At 37.0% G+C, this 16,516-nt stretch overlaps 1 long non-coding RNA gene across 1 annotated transcript in view, besides 1 other annotated feature; it reads left to right on the top strand.

Moving 5' to 3' along the window:
* LOC102725082 (uncharacterized) overlaps positions 1-16,516 on the top strand; it is a 56,826-nt gene that overhangs the window by 23,824 nt on the left and 16,486 nt on the right. The window contains exon 2 of the long non-coding RNA XR_007088066.1: positions 373-504. This is a non-coding gene — a long non-coding RNA (uncharacterized LOC102725082). The remainder of the gene's footprint in view (positions 1-372; positions 505-16,516) is intronic.
* Positions 12,295-12,394: an enhancer, noted in NCBI's record as "active region_17057". NCBI's record gives its function as "activates an Ori minimal core promoter by ATAC-STARR-seq in GM12878 lymphoblastoid cells {active_cell/tissue: GM12878}" and the evidence as "EXISTENCE:reporter gene assay evidence [ECO:0000049][PMID:35858748]".

The raw sequence follows: 16,516 nt of genomic DNA, 5'->3' as shown, positions 1-16,516 counted from the left end.
TTTCTAAAGTGGGCAGAGGAGATATTACAAATATGGTCATCTCATTTGTCAAATGTTACACTTCCAGATTGGAAGTGATAAAAATTGTGATTTTAGGGAAAGAATGAGGGTGGGGTCAGGAGGAATTTGTATCATCCATGGCAATTTAGATATTTTAAAGCTCCTTTTTGAGCTATGTGGTGTAGAATAATTTTGAAAGCAAGTAATGTATGTAAAAAATACCATAAGATAAAATGTTATTTTACCAAGGCTTAAGCAAGGGGTGAGATTACAAATGTTGACCAAACCAACTCCAAGGGATTATAATGCTGCATTATCTTCATCTGCCAAGCCATCTTTTAAAAAATTATTATTATTCTTTCTTCTTTTCAGCGTTATTTCCAACTTTCGGTTGAAGTCCATCCTGCTTCTCTTTTTGACAGGCAACAATTTTTCTTGGAAAGAACATCATGGTGATAGAATTTTAATCTGAATATAAATTCCATATCTGCATTCCTTGGGCAGGTAATAAGCTCATTTCCCACAGTAAAATATGAGTAATTCTAAAGACCAAATTCACCTATATCATAAGAATGCTGTTAAAATAAAATAAGGGGTTAATGGGTTTGAAAGTACGCAGAGGGAAAACATTTCATCCAAATGCCAAATGTTATTCTGTTTTTTTCACAATTTGTAAACTTCTGCTTCTGTACATTTTCAAGTCACAAATTGTATGCTTACATGTTGAATACTTATGCTTAATTAAATTTGAAGGGATCATAGGCAATATCATTGAAAAGGTAATGGGATATATTGTAGTGAAGAGAAATTTAAAGGACTTTTCATCCAACTGCCAAGCATCAATAATGCCCAATCAAACTTTTCTGGAGAAGTTTTCTGTAGTCACTCCCATTTGGGATGCCATTTGTAGTTTGAGTATCTTGAGTTAAGGTTTTACTTTTGACTGAACGATGTTGGTTGTAAATATGCCTGTAAATTAGATAGATAGATAGATAGATAGATAGATAGATAGATAGATAGATAGACATATATATATATATATATTTTTTTTTTTTTTTGAGATGGAGTCTTGCTCTGTCGCCCAGGCTGGAGTGCAGTGTTGCCATCTCGGCTCACTACAACCTCTGCCTCCTGGGTTCAAGTGATTCTCCTGCCTCAAGCTCCCGAGTAGCTGGGATTACAGGTGTGCACCACCATGCCTGGCTAATTTTTGTATTTTTTGTTGAGATGGGGCTTCACCATGTTGGCCAGGCTAGTCTTGAACTCCTGATCTCAAGTGATCCACCCATCTCAGCCTCCCAAAGTGCTGGGATTATAGGTGTGAGCCACCTTGCCCAGCTGATATATTGTTATAAATACACTCTGTCATCCTCAAGGCAATGTATCATTTGATGTTACATGAAATAACTACACAATTTTCTTGTATTTTGTTTCCATTGATTCTAATATATGAGGTAGAATACTTTGGTAAACACCTATGTCTCTGCAGCCTTTCCTTCGGAGAATTTCCTACTTATACACATATTATTACACCATTTATTCTGCTTTATAAAATGAGCAATGTATAAAAAGTTACTGCTTTACAAATATTAACACAATACTATAATATCAAATACCTATAGTTGATTTTTTAAATAATTATTCTTAACAATTTAGAAATTTCAATTCATTTTGTCCTATTACTTAAGACAGAATAAAGTATTATATTGGGCAGGCATTGAGATATTCTGTATTTATCTCACCTGCAATACCTGACAAAGTAGTTATATTATTTAATTTGAAAGACAGCAAACATTTCATTCTCACTTAGCCTGACTTGGAATTACTGTCTTATCTAATTCTATGGTACTACATAGAGAGACTCCACCAAAAGGGCTAATGAACATAGAGTAAGTTATACATATGGCATTTCTCTTCTGAAACAGCTATCTTTAAATTTAATACGAAGCACCTTAGAGAAACTGCATTTTCAGGGCTTTCAACTTTATGCTTTCTTGAGAATGTATTTAGAAACCTACTCGCTATAAATACTGAGTATTTGTGGGCTCAAAATAAAATGACTTTATAACCAGTAAATCTTCCAAACGGGCTATCTTAAGATAAAGGCCTAGCTTTGCCAGTGATGTACAGAAATATGAGCCTTGCCTAAGGTTATCTTGTACCTATGCTAATATTGCTCAAGATTCCTAATTGTTTGCAAAATTTGCTCATCATCCACATGGAAACAGGAGTAAATTAAAATCATTGCAATAATGCCTCAGAAATGCAACAAATGATTCAAAATATTAGCTTTTTTTGTCTTAATATTTCCCCTGAAATTCAGCCATGCATACATGTCTACACAACTTTCTGGTTTTAACAGTATAAGATTGTTTCTTTGCTGGATCTTTTTCTTTTTTAGTAACACCTCTATCTAGAGACCTATGTATATATTCATGTTAAACTTGCAAAAAAATAATCATAAAGTTCTTAATTTTTCTCAACACACCTATTCTCACGTGGCTGCCATTACACACTGTATTTTTGTCCTAATCATTTCTTTCTTCAAACAATTAAGCTGATGAAAAATATATACAATGTGCAGTAAAGTTGATTATTTAAAACAGAGAGATTCCTCGGAATGCCTGTAGAGAATACTATTTTAGCATGTAGGAAAACATATATAAAACCCTTAACAGCATACCCAATGTAGAAGATCCCCAATAATTGTTAACTATTCATCCTTGCCAACATTTGTAATAATAACTTAAGGCATTATAAGAAATTGAATTTCCTTTTGAGTCAGAAAAAAAGATAGGATTGTATTTCATAACATGTAATTTCATAGGTTACACTTTCCTCATTTAAAATCATTTAAAAATCCATTTTCAATGGTGTAAATGAGAGGAAAAAAAGGGGGGAAGAACACACTACTCCGTTTCCTGTAGATAGAACCTGCCTTTGACTTCCATAAAAGCAGTCTTTCCTGTTCCAAGAAAATTCAGTGTAGTCTGGCCCCAGCAAATTCCATTCCCCAATAATGCCAGCATTTACTGTAAGAATGACATTTTGTTACTTCATATTTTGAGTTACATTCTTCATGTGAGTTCTGAATATCTTTGGTTTTAGCTACTATTTCTTGGTTTACCATTTATATTTAAGATCCTCTTCTCCACTGGTAAGTTCACCTAAATACTACTAACTAGTTTTCATTGCTGGGATCACATAATTCTTTTCTGAAAATCCCTCAAGTGCCTAAATGGGGTTTAATCATCTGTCAACATTCTCATGGTCGTACCTAGCTATTGCTCGATTTTTCTCTGCGTCTTCATGATTTACCCACAAACTCATCTGCATTTCATTTCTGAAGTTTCTTCAATAGTGAGCTCAAAATCCACTCTATTCACAAAGCCTTTCCCATCCTAGTAAAGGCAAATGGAGTCCTTCGGCCATTTTCAGAGATATCATTGCATACTTGGTTTCAATTTGACCAATGTATCCTTTACCCTATAATAGATCTTATATCCAATCATATGAATTTGATCACATGTATTTCATCTGGTTTTTGTCTTATCAGATTCTCTCAAATGTAGAGACTGCCCTACATATTCCTTAAACTGCTCCCCACAGCTCAAATGCATGGATATAAGCAACATATACTTGATTCAACATATTTTTGGTGGTTCACAATAAAACATATGTTGATTTATGACCAGGTGCATACATCTGTAGTTGAGATAGCAAATATTTACCTCCTGTTTATCTATGGCTGTCTAATCACCACTACAAGTGGCAACAATTCTGTCACCTATCTTTCTAAAGGACTGGTAAGAATTACCAGATGAGTAGGAGTCTGTATTTTTGCATTGACAAAGGGGGCAGTAAAATTACAGTCTTTGGGAAAACTATTTTTCTATGTTCTTTTGTATCCTCTTAGTTGTTATTTCTGTGCTAGGTGATGGTGTTATAGCTTGTAGTGTTTGGTTTACTTTTTCCATAGTCCTCCTAATCTTTGGTAGCAAAGTCACATCTGCTTGATCAACAGTTTATTAGTTTAGCCAAGGGCATCTTGACACCAGAGCCTAGCTTGGAATAAAAGCACAAGTCTGAAGTCTTATTAGAAGACATCCCTTGATTCACAGAGAAGCATGCTAGAGATGACATTGTTGTTACCAGTTCATCTTTGCACATGAGGAAGTCTCTCTATCTATCCTTTGTACACCACAGGATGAGTGCTTTAAATCCCTGTTTCATTTTTCCAGGTAGGAAATCATTTCAAATAATGTAACTTCAGGTGTTCAAATGAATAAACAAGTAAGATGACTGTGGAATTGGGAAATAAGATGCCACAGTGGAGTAATTTAAAATGGCATGAAGACGCTGGATAAGATCAAAGAGAGTTCCCTTTTCAGTTGATACCACTTCTGGGGTGGGAAATCCACCTTACTGTGGTCAGTAGTTATTGTCTGCAAAAGCCTGAGACAATTCTTATCTCTGGTACCACAGTGTGAAAGCCTTTGAAACAGACTTGGGTTACCCAAGAGAGCACTGGAACAGAGCAGATAGCAGAGGACAGTGGCAGGCATGCTAGTCAGTAGCTCTTTAGTTAGGTGTATTTCAGGATTATGTATAGATAGTATTAATCTGTAGTAGGAATGTTGGTTCTGGCTCTTGTTTCTGAATTAAAAAATGATTTCTTACATTTTTTTTTTCTAATTCTATGTACAGGGAATGGTTTATTTCTTTAAAAACTGGTGTCTAATAGCTTAGCAGATGTCAAAAGTCTCCTCACCAAATATAATTCAGAACTTTGTATATATGGATTCTTTTTATTCTTTCATTCAGTCAGTTGCACTTCTGAAAAATATAGTCCCTTACTTTGGAGATTGCCCATGCAGTGTCCTAGTGGAAATAGCCTTCCTCCCTCTTCCTTGTCTCTACAGTAGGTCCGGGTTATGCTTTAAAACTTCCCATATCATTTACTTCATATCTTCTTCTCTACTTCGGTGTCTGTCTTTGTTTCTTAATAGTAGATACTAAAAGCATTGAGGAAAAGTAACTCTCCCCTGTAAAAATGAAAACTTATAGGCAAGAAATTGGAGACTTGGAACTTTAATACTCATGGAAAGAAAAGGTAATATCCTTTTAATAAAAATATTCAGTGTGATATTTATTGAAAATTCACAGAACAACAACAAATATGGATGCTATCTATGTCATAGGTTTAGATTTTATGAAAATCCAGTGTCTCCTAGACTTCAGAGTTGGAAGAGACCCTCAATATCAATGAAACCAATCTCTATTTCGTAAGTGATAAAACTGAGGATCAGAAATGTCAAGGGCCTACCCCCAGGCCTCACAGCTAGTGAGATCTTCCTCCTCACACTGTTCTTGGTTTAGTTCCGTTTCTATTCTAACACATTGTCTCCCCTAGAGTAGTGAAAGAATGAAAAGAAATTGCTGTGCAGCAAAACTAGTCATTTGGGAATAAAAAGGCAAAGGTAAATACAGTAAAAAAGAAATGGAGAATGGCAATGTATTTAATAGTAATCTTACCTAGATTCCAGTTATCCTATAATATGATTTTTTAAAGAGCATTATAGAATGTTTTGAAATAAGTAAAAACAGATCTGTGGTTTTGATTCCCTACAATCATATACAGTTAAAAACCTCTAAAAGACATTATAGATTAGAATTGACTTAGCCAGTTTTTACAATATATTCTTTTTCTCATGTAAGATTGTCCCCAAATGATTATTTTTCAGTCCTTATAACCTACTTTAGACTGTTTGAAATGTAGGGCTTCCTTCCTTTCTTTGAAAAGATAATTCCAGTGTAATCTATCTTGGGAATCAAGATAGGATACTTGGGAAACTGTTGTGACCCACAGAAAACATTTTGCATGGCATCTGATAAGGAGGCCACAAATTACAGTCTTCAGATGTGAAATCACCTGGGAATCTCCTAACATCATTTAACAAGTGACAAATAGCCAGGGCAAGGAACAGGATTGCATTCCTCATTAACCAATCAGGGCCATTTGGTAACTGGGATATCATCTGGAAGGAACAGATATCCAAGATGCCTGAAATGTAAAGTGCATTCAGACTTGCTTGCCTGGACAAAGCCCCAGTAGAAGAAAATGTATAGTACAGATACTTGGATGCCATGTAAGGAGTTACTAGCCAGCTGGGCAGAGTGAGTGACATTTGGTTGAGGCAGGGTGTGGGCACAGTACTCCAGGCAATCTGGCTTTCATCTTCCCTCGTATTTATTTGGCAAACTCAGCCATCATTCCTCACTACTCCCCCTCATATCTGAAGCAGTCATCTTGGGGTGAGAGGATTTATTATAAATTTCACATAGTGTTACTTAAAGAGCTTTCCAAGGGAAATAGATCCTCCTGGAAAACATGCCCAGGTCAAAGAGGAATATAGTATGGCAGCACCAACCCTAACCTGGCCTGATTGACCTCAACTATTTCTGGCTTCCTTGTGTCCCTGAGATCTTCCTTTGTACTTCTAGACGAGCCCTAATCATGTTGCAGCCTCTTTAGGTAGGGAAGAGAGAACACACTCACTATGAGATAGAAGCTCCATTTTCCTTGGTAAGCTGAGGTGCTATGAAGGCTAGACAGAAGAAAAGCATTCAGTCATCTTCACTGTTTACTGCCTCTATTTGGGGGGAAGGCATCATTTCCTCATTCTGATAAAGGGTAGTAAAGAGAACATCTATTCCCAGATGACTCATTGGTTTTTAGCTTTCTTTGTCCCTCCCATGTCTGACCGGCTTTATTCAGGACAAAGTTGGGGAATCAGCTGTAAGGAATTGCCTGGTGCAACTTAGTTCAAAGAAGGAAAGATGTGTGCTCACACACGCACACAAATAAGTGGGAGCTGCTTCGTTCCCTCAGAGTCACAGTCTTATGATTTCCTTTGTGCTTTAATCAGGACCATAAGTAGGGCATGTGACTAGGACAAGGAGGTTACCGTTTGAAGGTGGTAATGGAATAGGGTTACATTTGTTCCATTTCCTATGCTCTTTACATTCACGAGATCATTATCATGAAAACGGATTTGTGCTGTGCCATTTCCTGTTCTTGTTACAATCTTTATCATGACAAGAAGGTACTAGGTTTTAACGCCTGGTGTTACATTTAACTGTTTTTAATAACTGCTATGTAGTATGACTTTTCTTCCCATATTGTGTTGTCTGCACAAAAAGTAAAGGTGATGCAGTCCAGGAATTTGAGTGTTGGTTTACTGAGTGTCTTGAGGCTCTGAAATATCAGGGTAGGGGACACATCTTCTTCTTTCGATATCCCAACCTAACCAACAGAACTTTCACAAGAGGCTCTGACTTGCTACTGCATCTTCCACGTAGATTTCAGATGCCCACTTTTCTTATCCCTGACTCTTTATAGTCCAAATGACACTTCTAGTGACAGTCAGATTGTATAACTTAAGGGGCAAGGCAGTACAGTTTCCAATTATCATCAAAGAATTTCCCCAGCATTACCATGCTGAGACTTCAGGCTGTTGATACGGATTAGATCAAAAATAGAACATGGTATAATAAGAACCTTTGCTTCCTGGCATGGGCTAGAATCAGAATAGCTAATGGTACAACACTTTCAAGCTCTCCTTTCTTTAAAAGTAGGTTTAGTCCTTGTGAAAGCTGCTGAGTTGACAGCTCAGGATACTATGGATAGAAAAATGATAAGCTTTCCCTCCCTGCTTTTCCCAATATACCTTCGGCCTGCCCTGGAGGGAATGTCTCAAGAAGAGAAAGGTTAGTTCTTTTTCCAGGTACTTTTAATCTTTGAATTTGGGAGTAGGAGGATTATCCAAGCTGATTATAAAGAATGTTTCAAGATGGGGCTATGTTTCTCCTAAGAACAAAGCTAAAATTGACAGATCATTTCATTCAGGCAACTACAAAACCACCCAGCTAGAATCAGTTTTGAAATCATGTGTGTCTTCTCATAAGGGACCTCCAGAGCTCTCCAAGTGAGTTTTGCAATGGCTTGTGTGTGGTTGAAGTTTTAAGAACTCAACCTTTTGAGGAAGATAGGGTACAGCATTTGCTTCATAGCTAGTGCTAATGAAGAACCAGTCATTGCTAATGCTGACCCACCTGCATTTCTTCATAGCCACCAAGCTCAGAGCAATGGAGCTGACTAGGAGGAACTAAAGACTTCAGTGATAGGTTGGGGTTGGCAGGGTAGACAAAGTCTCCCAAAACTTGGTGGAATAGAGCTGAGAATTCCACCCCTTCCTTACACAAGCCTTATTCATAAACTTTGGGGTGGGGATCCATTGATGCATTTCAGGGGAGTTATGAAATTCCTGAAATTCTATATAAATTTCATTGTAAGCTAATGAACTATTTTTTTTCTCTCCTGAGGGTGTGCCTTCCTAGCTTTTATCTAATTTTCAAGGAGCTCTATGACGTCCCACTTTTTAAGAGCCACTGCTTTAGATAGTCAAGTCTCTTTCCTCCAGTCCTGGGACCAATTGTCACCCGACCCACTCAGAAGACACTTAGAGAAAAAAAGGCGTTAGATTACTGATAACACTTAAGTTGATTTCTCATTTCCAAAAACTTGACTCCCTCTCATTCAGGCTGTTTTCTTATTTGCTAAATATATTTTTATCTTTGACTTTGAACTTTTTGAAATGACATGTGTATAATGTATTTGATGTCTAGAATAACATCTTATAAAGCAAACTCTTTGACTACATGCATAATCGTGGCTTGTTCATCTGCCAGCACCACCCACCATAAGGAAAGGAAGGGTTCCCTTAATAAGTACTACCTTTTTAAGAAAGTGAAACTAAGAAAAATTTCACCCAACTTATAAAGGATAAAAATCCATTTTTAAATATAGCAATTCTCCTCTCAGAAATAATCTTGAGTGCCAATAAAAACATAACCACATTGCTTGCTCTTATTTAAAAAAAAAAATAGAAAAGAAGCTAAAGAGAACAGCTCCTCCTTTTCCACCGAATATTGTTCTGGGGAGTTCATAAGGTCAGGAACTTGACACTGGTTTCGGGTGGAAGCCAGTCAAGCAGGATTTCTTTGCCCTCTGGACAAATGGTTGGCCTACTTCAGGAATTTTGAGTAATTATTGCTGCTCTCTTCAGCCAGGAGAAATGTACTTTTCACAAAGAGAAGAGCTTGTGGCATTAACTTAATCCCACTGCCTGAGTGCACAAAATCAGTTTTGCTCTGCAGAATTATAGTTCCTAATTTATGAATATGAGAATTATTTCATCTCACCCCTTGGGTCTTTGTGAAAATGAAGCACTCATGGTGTTGCCTAGAGCATGATGTGATGCCCAGCATCATGTACTTCCTGGAGGATATCACTTCATAAATGCAAGGTACTAAGAGGAGCAGATTGCTGTTCCTGGTATGTCCAATGCTGTTTTTCACTAAGAAGTATAGAGGCAGCAGTTTTGTGCCTTCAACCATGCCAGTCAAGAATTTTGAATTTTCACTCTTTCCCATTAGAATTACTCCTAATCATTCCCATAAAGACACATTTGCAGTAGCTGAACTCTGGAGCATCACAGTCAGACATTTGCAATGAGATTATTATGGTATTGTTTTGAAACAAGTAGTTGTATAAACTAAGTGTTTCTATGATCAAGTTCTTGAACAAAATTATCATCTAAATTAATTTGAAGAGGACACGGTTTTGGCAACCACTGGCCACAATTGCCGGTAGCCCTATTTTCATCAGAAAAGCAAAGGTCTCTTCATATTTAACTCCCTCTTAATATCCCTTGGTGGTTTCTATTGTTTTGGAATCATTCTCTACCATACATAACAAGTCCTATGAACCATATGGGATTACCTGTCCAAATTCCCAGGGAACAGGGTAGCTGTGAGTATTTTTGTATGCCCCTATAGCATTGCCATAATGCCACCTCAGATTACTAGAGTAATCCTCACCAAAAACCCTCCAGGCAACTAACATGTCAGGAATTATTCTACTTATAATAGGAGGCCCATTAACACTGAAAAATAATATATTATTTTTTCACATGCACACAAATATATTGATTCAAATGTGTGTACATTTTGATCTAGTATTAACAATCTTGCCTATGTTTTTTTGGTAATCTGAGAGTTTTTGTATTTTTTTTAATTTGAGAGAGGGAGTATTGTGTATTTTTTTTTTTTGAATTACAATCAATCCATAGCATTTAGTTGGTCTTTCAGCCCAAGTGAAACAAACACAACACCAATTCCTAACTTTTACGCAGCCTATGCAAATGACCTTCTATCCAATTAAGCAGGCAGCAAGCCTAGTATTTTAAGTAGAGGTAGTTTCTCAATACTTTTTGACCCATGTTTGTGGATTGCTTTAATGTCATTTCACTACTAAAAAAGAGTTTCTAGATTAAAAAATAGTTTATAGTTTAATTCTGTGATATTACACAATTTGGCTTGGTGTCTAGTCACTCAAGCTTTTCACTTGTATTTTTAAATTACCATTTTAGGGACACAGTAAGAAAAAACAGCTTTAATGGCATTTAGTTATTTTGAGCTCATTAGATATAATTAAAAGTCTACAAGGAAGCTTTTCAAGTCAGTACCCAATTATGGGATTTAGCTAAACTTTTGAAATATGACAGTTAAGTTTGTGGGCATGCTGTACGTCAGAATTTTGCTTCTTATACCCTATTTGGGCCATGTGAATTCAGACAGGCCCAAACTGAGGAATCCCAATTTATGAACCTTCACTTTGTTTGCTCAAACTTGAGTGTCCAGATTTTTTAAACAGCTTATCATAGAAGAAGATTTAACAATGAGATCTGTTCTCTTAACAAATTTTAAAGTGTTCAATACAGTATTGTTAACTACGGGCACAATGTTGTACAGCAGATCTCTAGAGCTTCATCTTTCATAACAAACCTTATACCAACTAAACTTTCCATTTCTCCCTCTCCCCAGCCCCTGGCAATCACCATTCTACTCTCTTCTTCAATGGTTTTGACTATTTTCAATACCTCATATAAGTAGAATTATACAGTATTAGTTCTTCTGTGATTGGCTTATTTTACTTAGCATAATGTCCTCAGAGTTCACCTATGTCATGACATATGGCAGGATTTTCTTTTTTCAAGGCTAAGTAATATTCCATTGTATGTATATACCACAATATCTTTATTCCTTCATCCTTTGATGGACATTAAGAGTTTTTCCATATCTTGGTTATTGTGAATAATGCTAGAGTGAACATGGGAGTGTGAATATCTCTTTGAGATCTTGATTTTAATTCTTTTGGATAAATACCTAGAGTAGGATTGCTGGATTATATGGTAGTTTTGTTTTTAATTTTTTCAGGAATCTCCATACTGTTTTCTATAGTGGCTGTACTATTTTACATTCCCACCAAGAGTATAATAGATGAGGGTTCCAATTTCTCCACATCTTTGTCAATATTTTTAATAACACCCACCCTAACAGGTATGAAGTGATATTTTATTGTGGTTTTGATTTGCATTTCCCTGACGATTAGCAATGTTGAGCACTTTTTCATATACCTGTTGGCCATTTGTATGTCTTTATGGAATTTATAGAATAGACATTTAAAGAAATGTCTATTCAAGTCCTTTGCCCATTTTTAAAATCAGGTTATTTGGTTTTCTGTTTGTTTTGTTTTTGCTACTGAATTATAGAAGTTAAGTGTCTAGATTTGATATTCAATGAGATATCTTCTAGGAAAATGATTTTTATCTGTTTAAAAATACTTTTGTTGGCACCATTTAAATGAATATTGGGAAATATTTTTCTTCTGTCAAGAAATGTTGGTATTAGAAGTATCAATAAAACAAAATTAAGTTCTTTGCTAATTTTTGTAAATTAAGTGATGGTGTTAGCTCCATTATACCTCCTTGATTCCATGAGCATACCAACATTATAGAGCCCTCATATAGAAAATGTATAACCCTCCTATGGTGGCCAGGGAGTGTGCTACCTGAGCCTCTCTCTAACAAAGGCCTTGCTGATCAGCTGCCAGGAATGCAATTAGGTGACGGCCTCCAGCTATAGCACCTTTGGGATCCACCACAGCATTTAAGCTAAGGCCAGGCTTTTCCTGACATAACTCCTAGGTAAGGACTGAGCACAATCACTACAACGCTCCTGATTCCCAGCCATTCCAACTCACAGGCTCCCCTGTGGGCAGTCTTTATGACAGAGCTCCCTGGTTGGGCTGGCTGAGACTTTCTCAGAGCTGCACCCTAATCACAGGCTTTTCCTACTTAATCCTCCTTCCTGCCCCTCACCTTTCACACATGTCATGATCTGAAGGCTTTCCCTGTCTACTCCTGCTCCTTCTCTCCCTTATATTTCAAAATCATTATCCCAATAAATCTCTTGTACTTCTGGTTTCCATCTTGAGGTCTGCCTTCCTGAGGTCCTAACCAGCACACCTCCCCTGAGTCCCAAATGCCTTTCTAGCTATAGTGCCATTTCTTTTTCTGCTCTACAATAGAACTTCTCACGAGAGTGGTCTAATCTGTGGCTTTCACTTTCTACTCCCTGCTCACTTGTTAACCCCCATCTATCTGTCTTTCATTAGTAATACTCCACTGAGAAACTACCATGAAAGTCACCACCTTACTTACCTCCATATTATAAATCCAACAGGTATTTTCCTATCATCTTATTTTGTCTCTCAGTGACACTTGATATATTTTTTCTGTACCCTCAGAAAAACAAAACAAATTTTTCACTGTCAAATCAGAGAGGTGATATCAGGTTGTTGTTAAGAACATAGCCTCTGGATTTAGATAGCTTTGATTTGAATCCTACATCTGCCACTTTTGAGCTGTATAAAGTTGGGAAAATTGTTTAACCCCACTGTGCCTCAGTTTTCCTGTCTGTAAAATGGGGGTAATAATAGTACCTACCTTTTGAAATTGAGGGGATTGAATGTAAGGCAATCACAGCAGTATTTGGCACCGTGATTGCTAGTCGTCGTCGTCGTCGTCATCATCATCATCATCATCATCATTATCATCATTCAAGGACACATGTTTTTGGTTTTTCTCCCCCTTCTCTGTGTGCTCCATCCCTATCTTCTTTGCTAGTTGCTTCTTACAAATGAGACCTCTAAATGTTGAAGTGCTCCAGAGCTTGATCTCTAGCCATACTTTTTCCTAGCCCTGTGAATTTGTATACCACCAGATGCCAATTCCTCCTAAATGCGTCTCCTCAGCCTTGACCCAAATCCAACAGCATATTTGACATTTTTACTTGTATAAAAATGTTTTAACATACCAAAAACAAGACTCATGATAATTCCCCATCTTGTCAAAATCTGTGCTAAGATTCCCCCATCCCCAATTTTCCTTACTTGCTCAAGTTGAAAATCCAGGGGTCTTTGATTTTTCCACTTTTATCTGTCAGATTTGATCCTTCTGTAACTCTATTTCTCCTACTACCTCCTTGGTCTAAACCAGCAAGTTTTCCCCCATCTCTAGCCTGGATTACTGAAATGACCACCAATCTGAGCTTCTAGCTCTCACTTTTTTTCCTGTCTGCAGTGGATTAAGCACCCAATTGCCAAGTTTATCTTTTGAACAGGCAGTGAAATTATGTTTGTGTTGTTTTGTTTTGTTTCGAGACAGGGTCTCACTCTGTCACCCAGGCTGGAGTGCAATGGTGCAATCATGGCTCACTGCAGCCTTGATCTCCTAGGCTTTAGTGATTTTCCCATCTCAGCCTGCTGAGTAGCTGGGACCACAGGCACACACCACTAACCCTTTATTTATTTATTTATTTATTTATTTATTTTGTAGAGACGGTGTCTTGCTATGTTGTCCAGGCTGGTCTAGAATTCCTGGGCTCAAGGGATCCACCTGCCTTGGCCTCCCAAAGTAAAAGTATCTTTATTTTCCTATTTAAAATGCTCTTTCAGCTTCTGATTGAATTTAGAATGAAATCTGAACACTCTTCTTTGGACTACATGATGCTATAAGTCCTGGTGACAGTCTCCCACTGTCTCTTTCTGCAGTGGATTAAGCACCCAATTGCCAAGTTTATCTTTTTCAACAGGTAGTGAAATTATGTTTGTGTTGTTGTTTTGTTTTGTTTTGTTTGTTTTGAGACAGGGTCTCACTCTGTCACCCAGGCTGGAGTGCAGTGGTACACTCACTGTCTCTTGTCAGTGCCCCTCACTGTGCTCAGCCAGACTGGTGCACCCACTGGCCTTTAAACACCCTAAACTCCTATCTGCTTCAGGGGCCTTGGGTTTGCTCTTCCCTCTAAATTCAGTGCTTTTCCTTGACTCTCCCAGGCTGGCTACTTTAACTCAAATTTCAGGTTTTGACTCAGAGGGCACCACCTCTGGGAGGCTGCCTCTGACCAGTTATCTAAAGGAACATCCCTATCCTTGATTATTCAGCCTTTTCTACCATTCATGAAAAATTTGAAATTATCTTGGTTGTTTATTTCTTTGCTTGTTTATGATCTATCATTCCACATTAGAATTTAACCCTCTTGAAAGAGAAAGACCTTGTCTTTCTTGTTCATACTTGTATGCCCACCACCTAGAGCAGTACCTGGTACACAGCAGGCACTTAATAAATATTGGCTGCATTAATACATGAATGGCTGAATCTTGGCAGACAGCAGACAGTTTTACAAAGCAATGACAAGATAATGATTCACAATTTAAAGAGACCACTCTGGATAATAAAATATAGACACAACTCTTATTTTCTGCACTAGAAATTGTAGATGTCAGATAGCCAAGTGGCAATATTAAAAATAGAAACTATTTTAATATTCAAAACATTAAAAAACTAATATCTTTGTCATGGACTGCTATATGAAGTTCAGGTTATGTTAAAGTTTATGTAGATGTTGGGATGAGGGGACATCAACATTTCTTAAATATCTATTATGTGCCCTGAACTCAGCTAGGGTATTCACATTAAAAATTTTCTACATGTACATATTTGTTAGAATATGCTCATTTTCTACATTTATCTTAAATTGATTAAAATAAGCCATAATATTTATATATAAATAGAAAATAGAAATTTCACATTAATTCTTTTTATGATTATAAAATGACACTTGAAATCTAAGTAACATAGATTATGGCACCTTAAGATAATTTAGGAAACTATAAAGTTACTTTTAATTGGGATGTAATGCATTTTACATTTTAGCACATCATAAATCAGGAATAAAAATTATGCTATATTTTAAGTAGAATACTTTCCTGAATACTTTTAGTGATTATGTAAGGCAAAGGAAGGTATTTAAAAGATAAAAATGACAGCAACCAGCTAAGCCAGGTGATTTACTAAGTACTTGGCCAGTAGGGTTTCAGTGAGATAGCCAACTGATCATTTAACCAATTTAAACAACTGAAAAAGTTTAGGTAACTTGTCTAAATTCACTCAGGTAGTAATCATCTTAGCAAAGATTTGCACCCAGATCACTCTGATTTCAAGCTCTTAACCCATTGCTAGGCAATGGTTCAATAGCCTGTAAAGGTAAATCACCCTAATGAGAAAAAGCCAAGTTCTTTACTGCCGTAGCTGCAGCAGTAAAACCCACAAGGGATTTTTCTCTTGGTTCAAATAATATTTTATTAGAACTTCAGTTATAAAAGTCTGTGATGAGACCTGGATCTCTGCAGAGTTGTGGGTGAAGTTCTATGGGAATCCTTTGGTGTATTAGACGGCAGCAGACTCCCTTGGGTGTCTCACTTTCATGAGCACTAGAAATTCACACAAGTGCCAGTGGGAAGATTTGAAAGGCTCCCAGAGCTGACCCAGAGTCTGAATGCCCCTTGCCTGTACTTCCTAGTAGGAGATTCTGACTTGATCAATTCCACAGTTTTGATCATAGCCAGCAGTGACTATACATGGTGTGCGGGCAGTACTTAAAGCTCCCTGAGGGATGAAATGCCTCATCACTCAGCAACCACTTTGGCAAACTAAAGGGTAACATTCATTGGCTCTGAACAAGTGAATAAGAGAAACAGCTCCCAAATCTCTGGAGGAAAACATGATAGAATAAAAAAAAAAAAAAAAAAAAAAAAAAAACTACTGACTTAAAAAAGCCCTTCTAATCCAATCTTAAAATTTTCACAAATCCATGTAATAACTACAAATCTATTTGCAGTTGGAAATCCAGACACTTTAAGGAGGGTCTCAACAAAGTCATGTTTCAAAACATACCAGTTATTTTATTCATTCATTTATTCAATATTTACTAAGTCCCTATTATGTGTCAGATACAGTTCTAGGCCCCAAGGATACAGCCTGAACAAAAAGTCCCTGATCTCAAGGAGAAAGAGAGATAAATAGATAACATATCAGGTGGTGATCAGTGTGAGGAAGAAAAATAAAATAAAGTAAGAAACAGAGGACTGGGAGGAGGGAAATGGATACTGTTTCCTCATGGTAGTCAGGGAAGGAAGGTCTATTTGATAAAAGACATGAAGAAAATAAAGGAGCAAAACTTTCTGACCATTTGTGGAAGGAATAGCAAGAGC

The sequence above is a fragment of the Homo sapiens genome, chromosome 2 (assembly GCF_000001405.40).
Source record: "Homo sapiens chromosome 2, GRCh38.p14 Primary Assembly".
NCBI lineage: Eukaryota > Metazoa > Chordata > Mammalia > Primates > Hominidae > Homo > Homo sapiens.
This window is presented reverse-complemented; position numbering and strand designations above follow the sequence as displayed.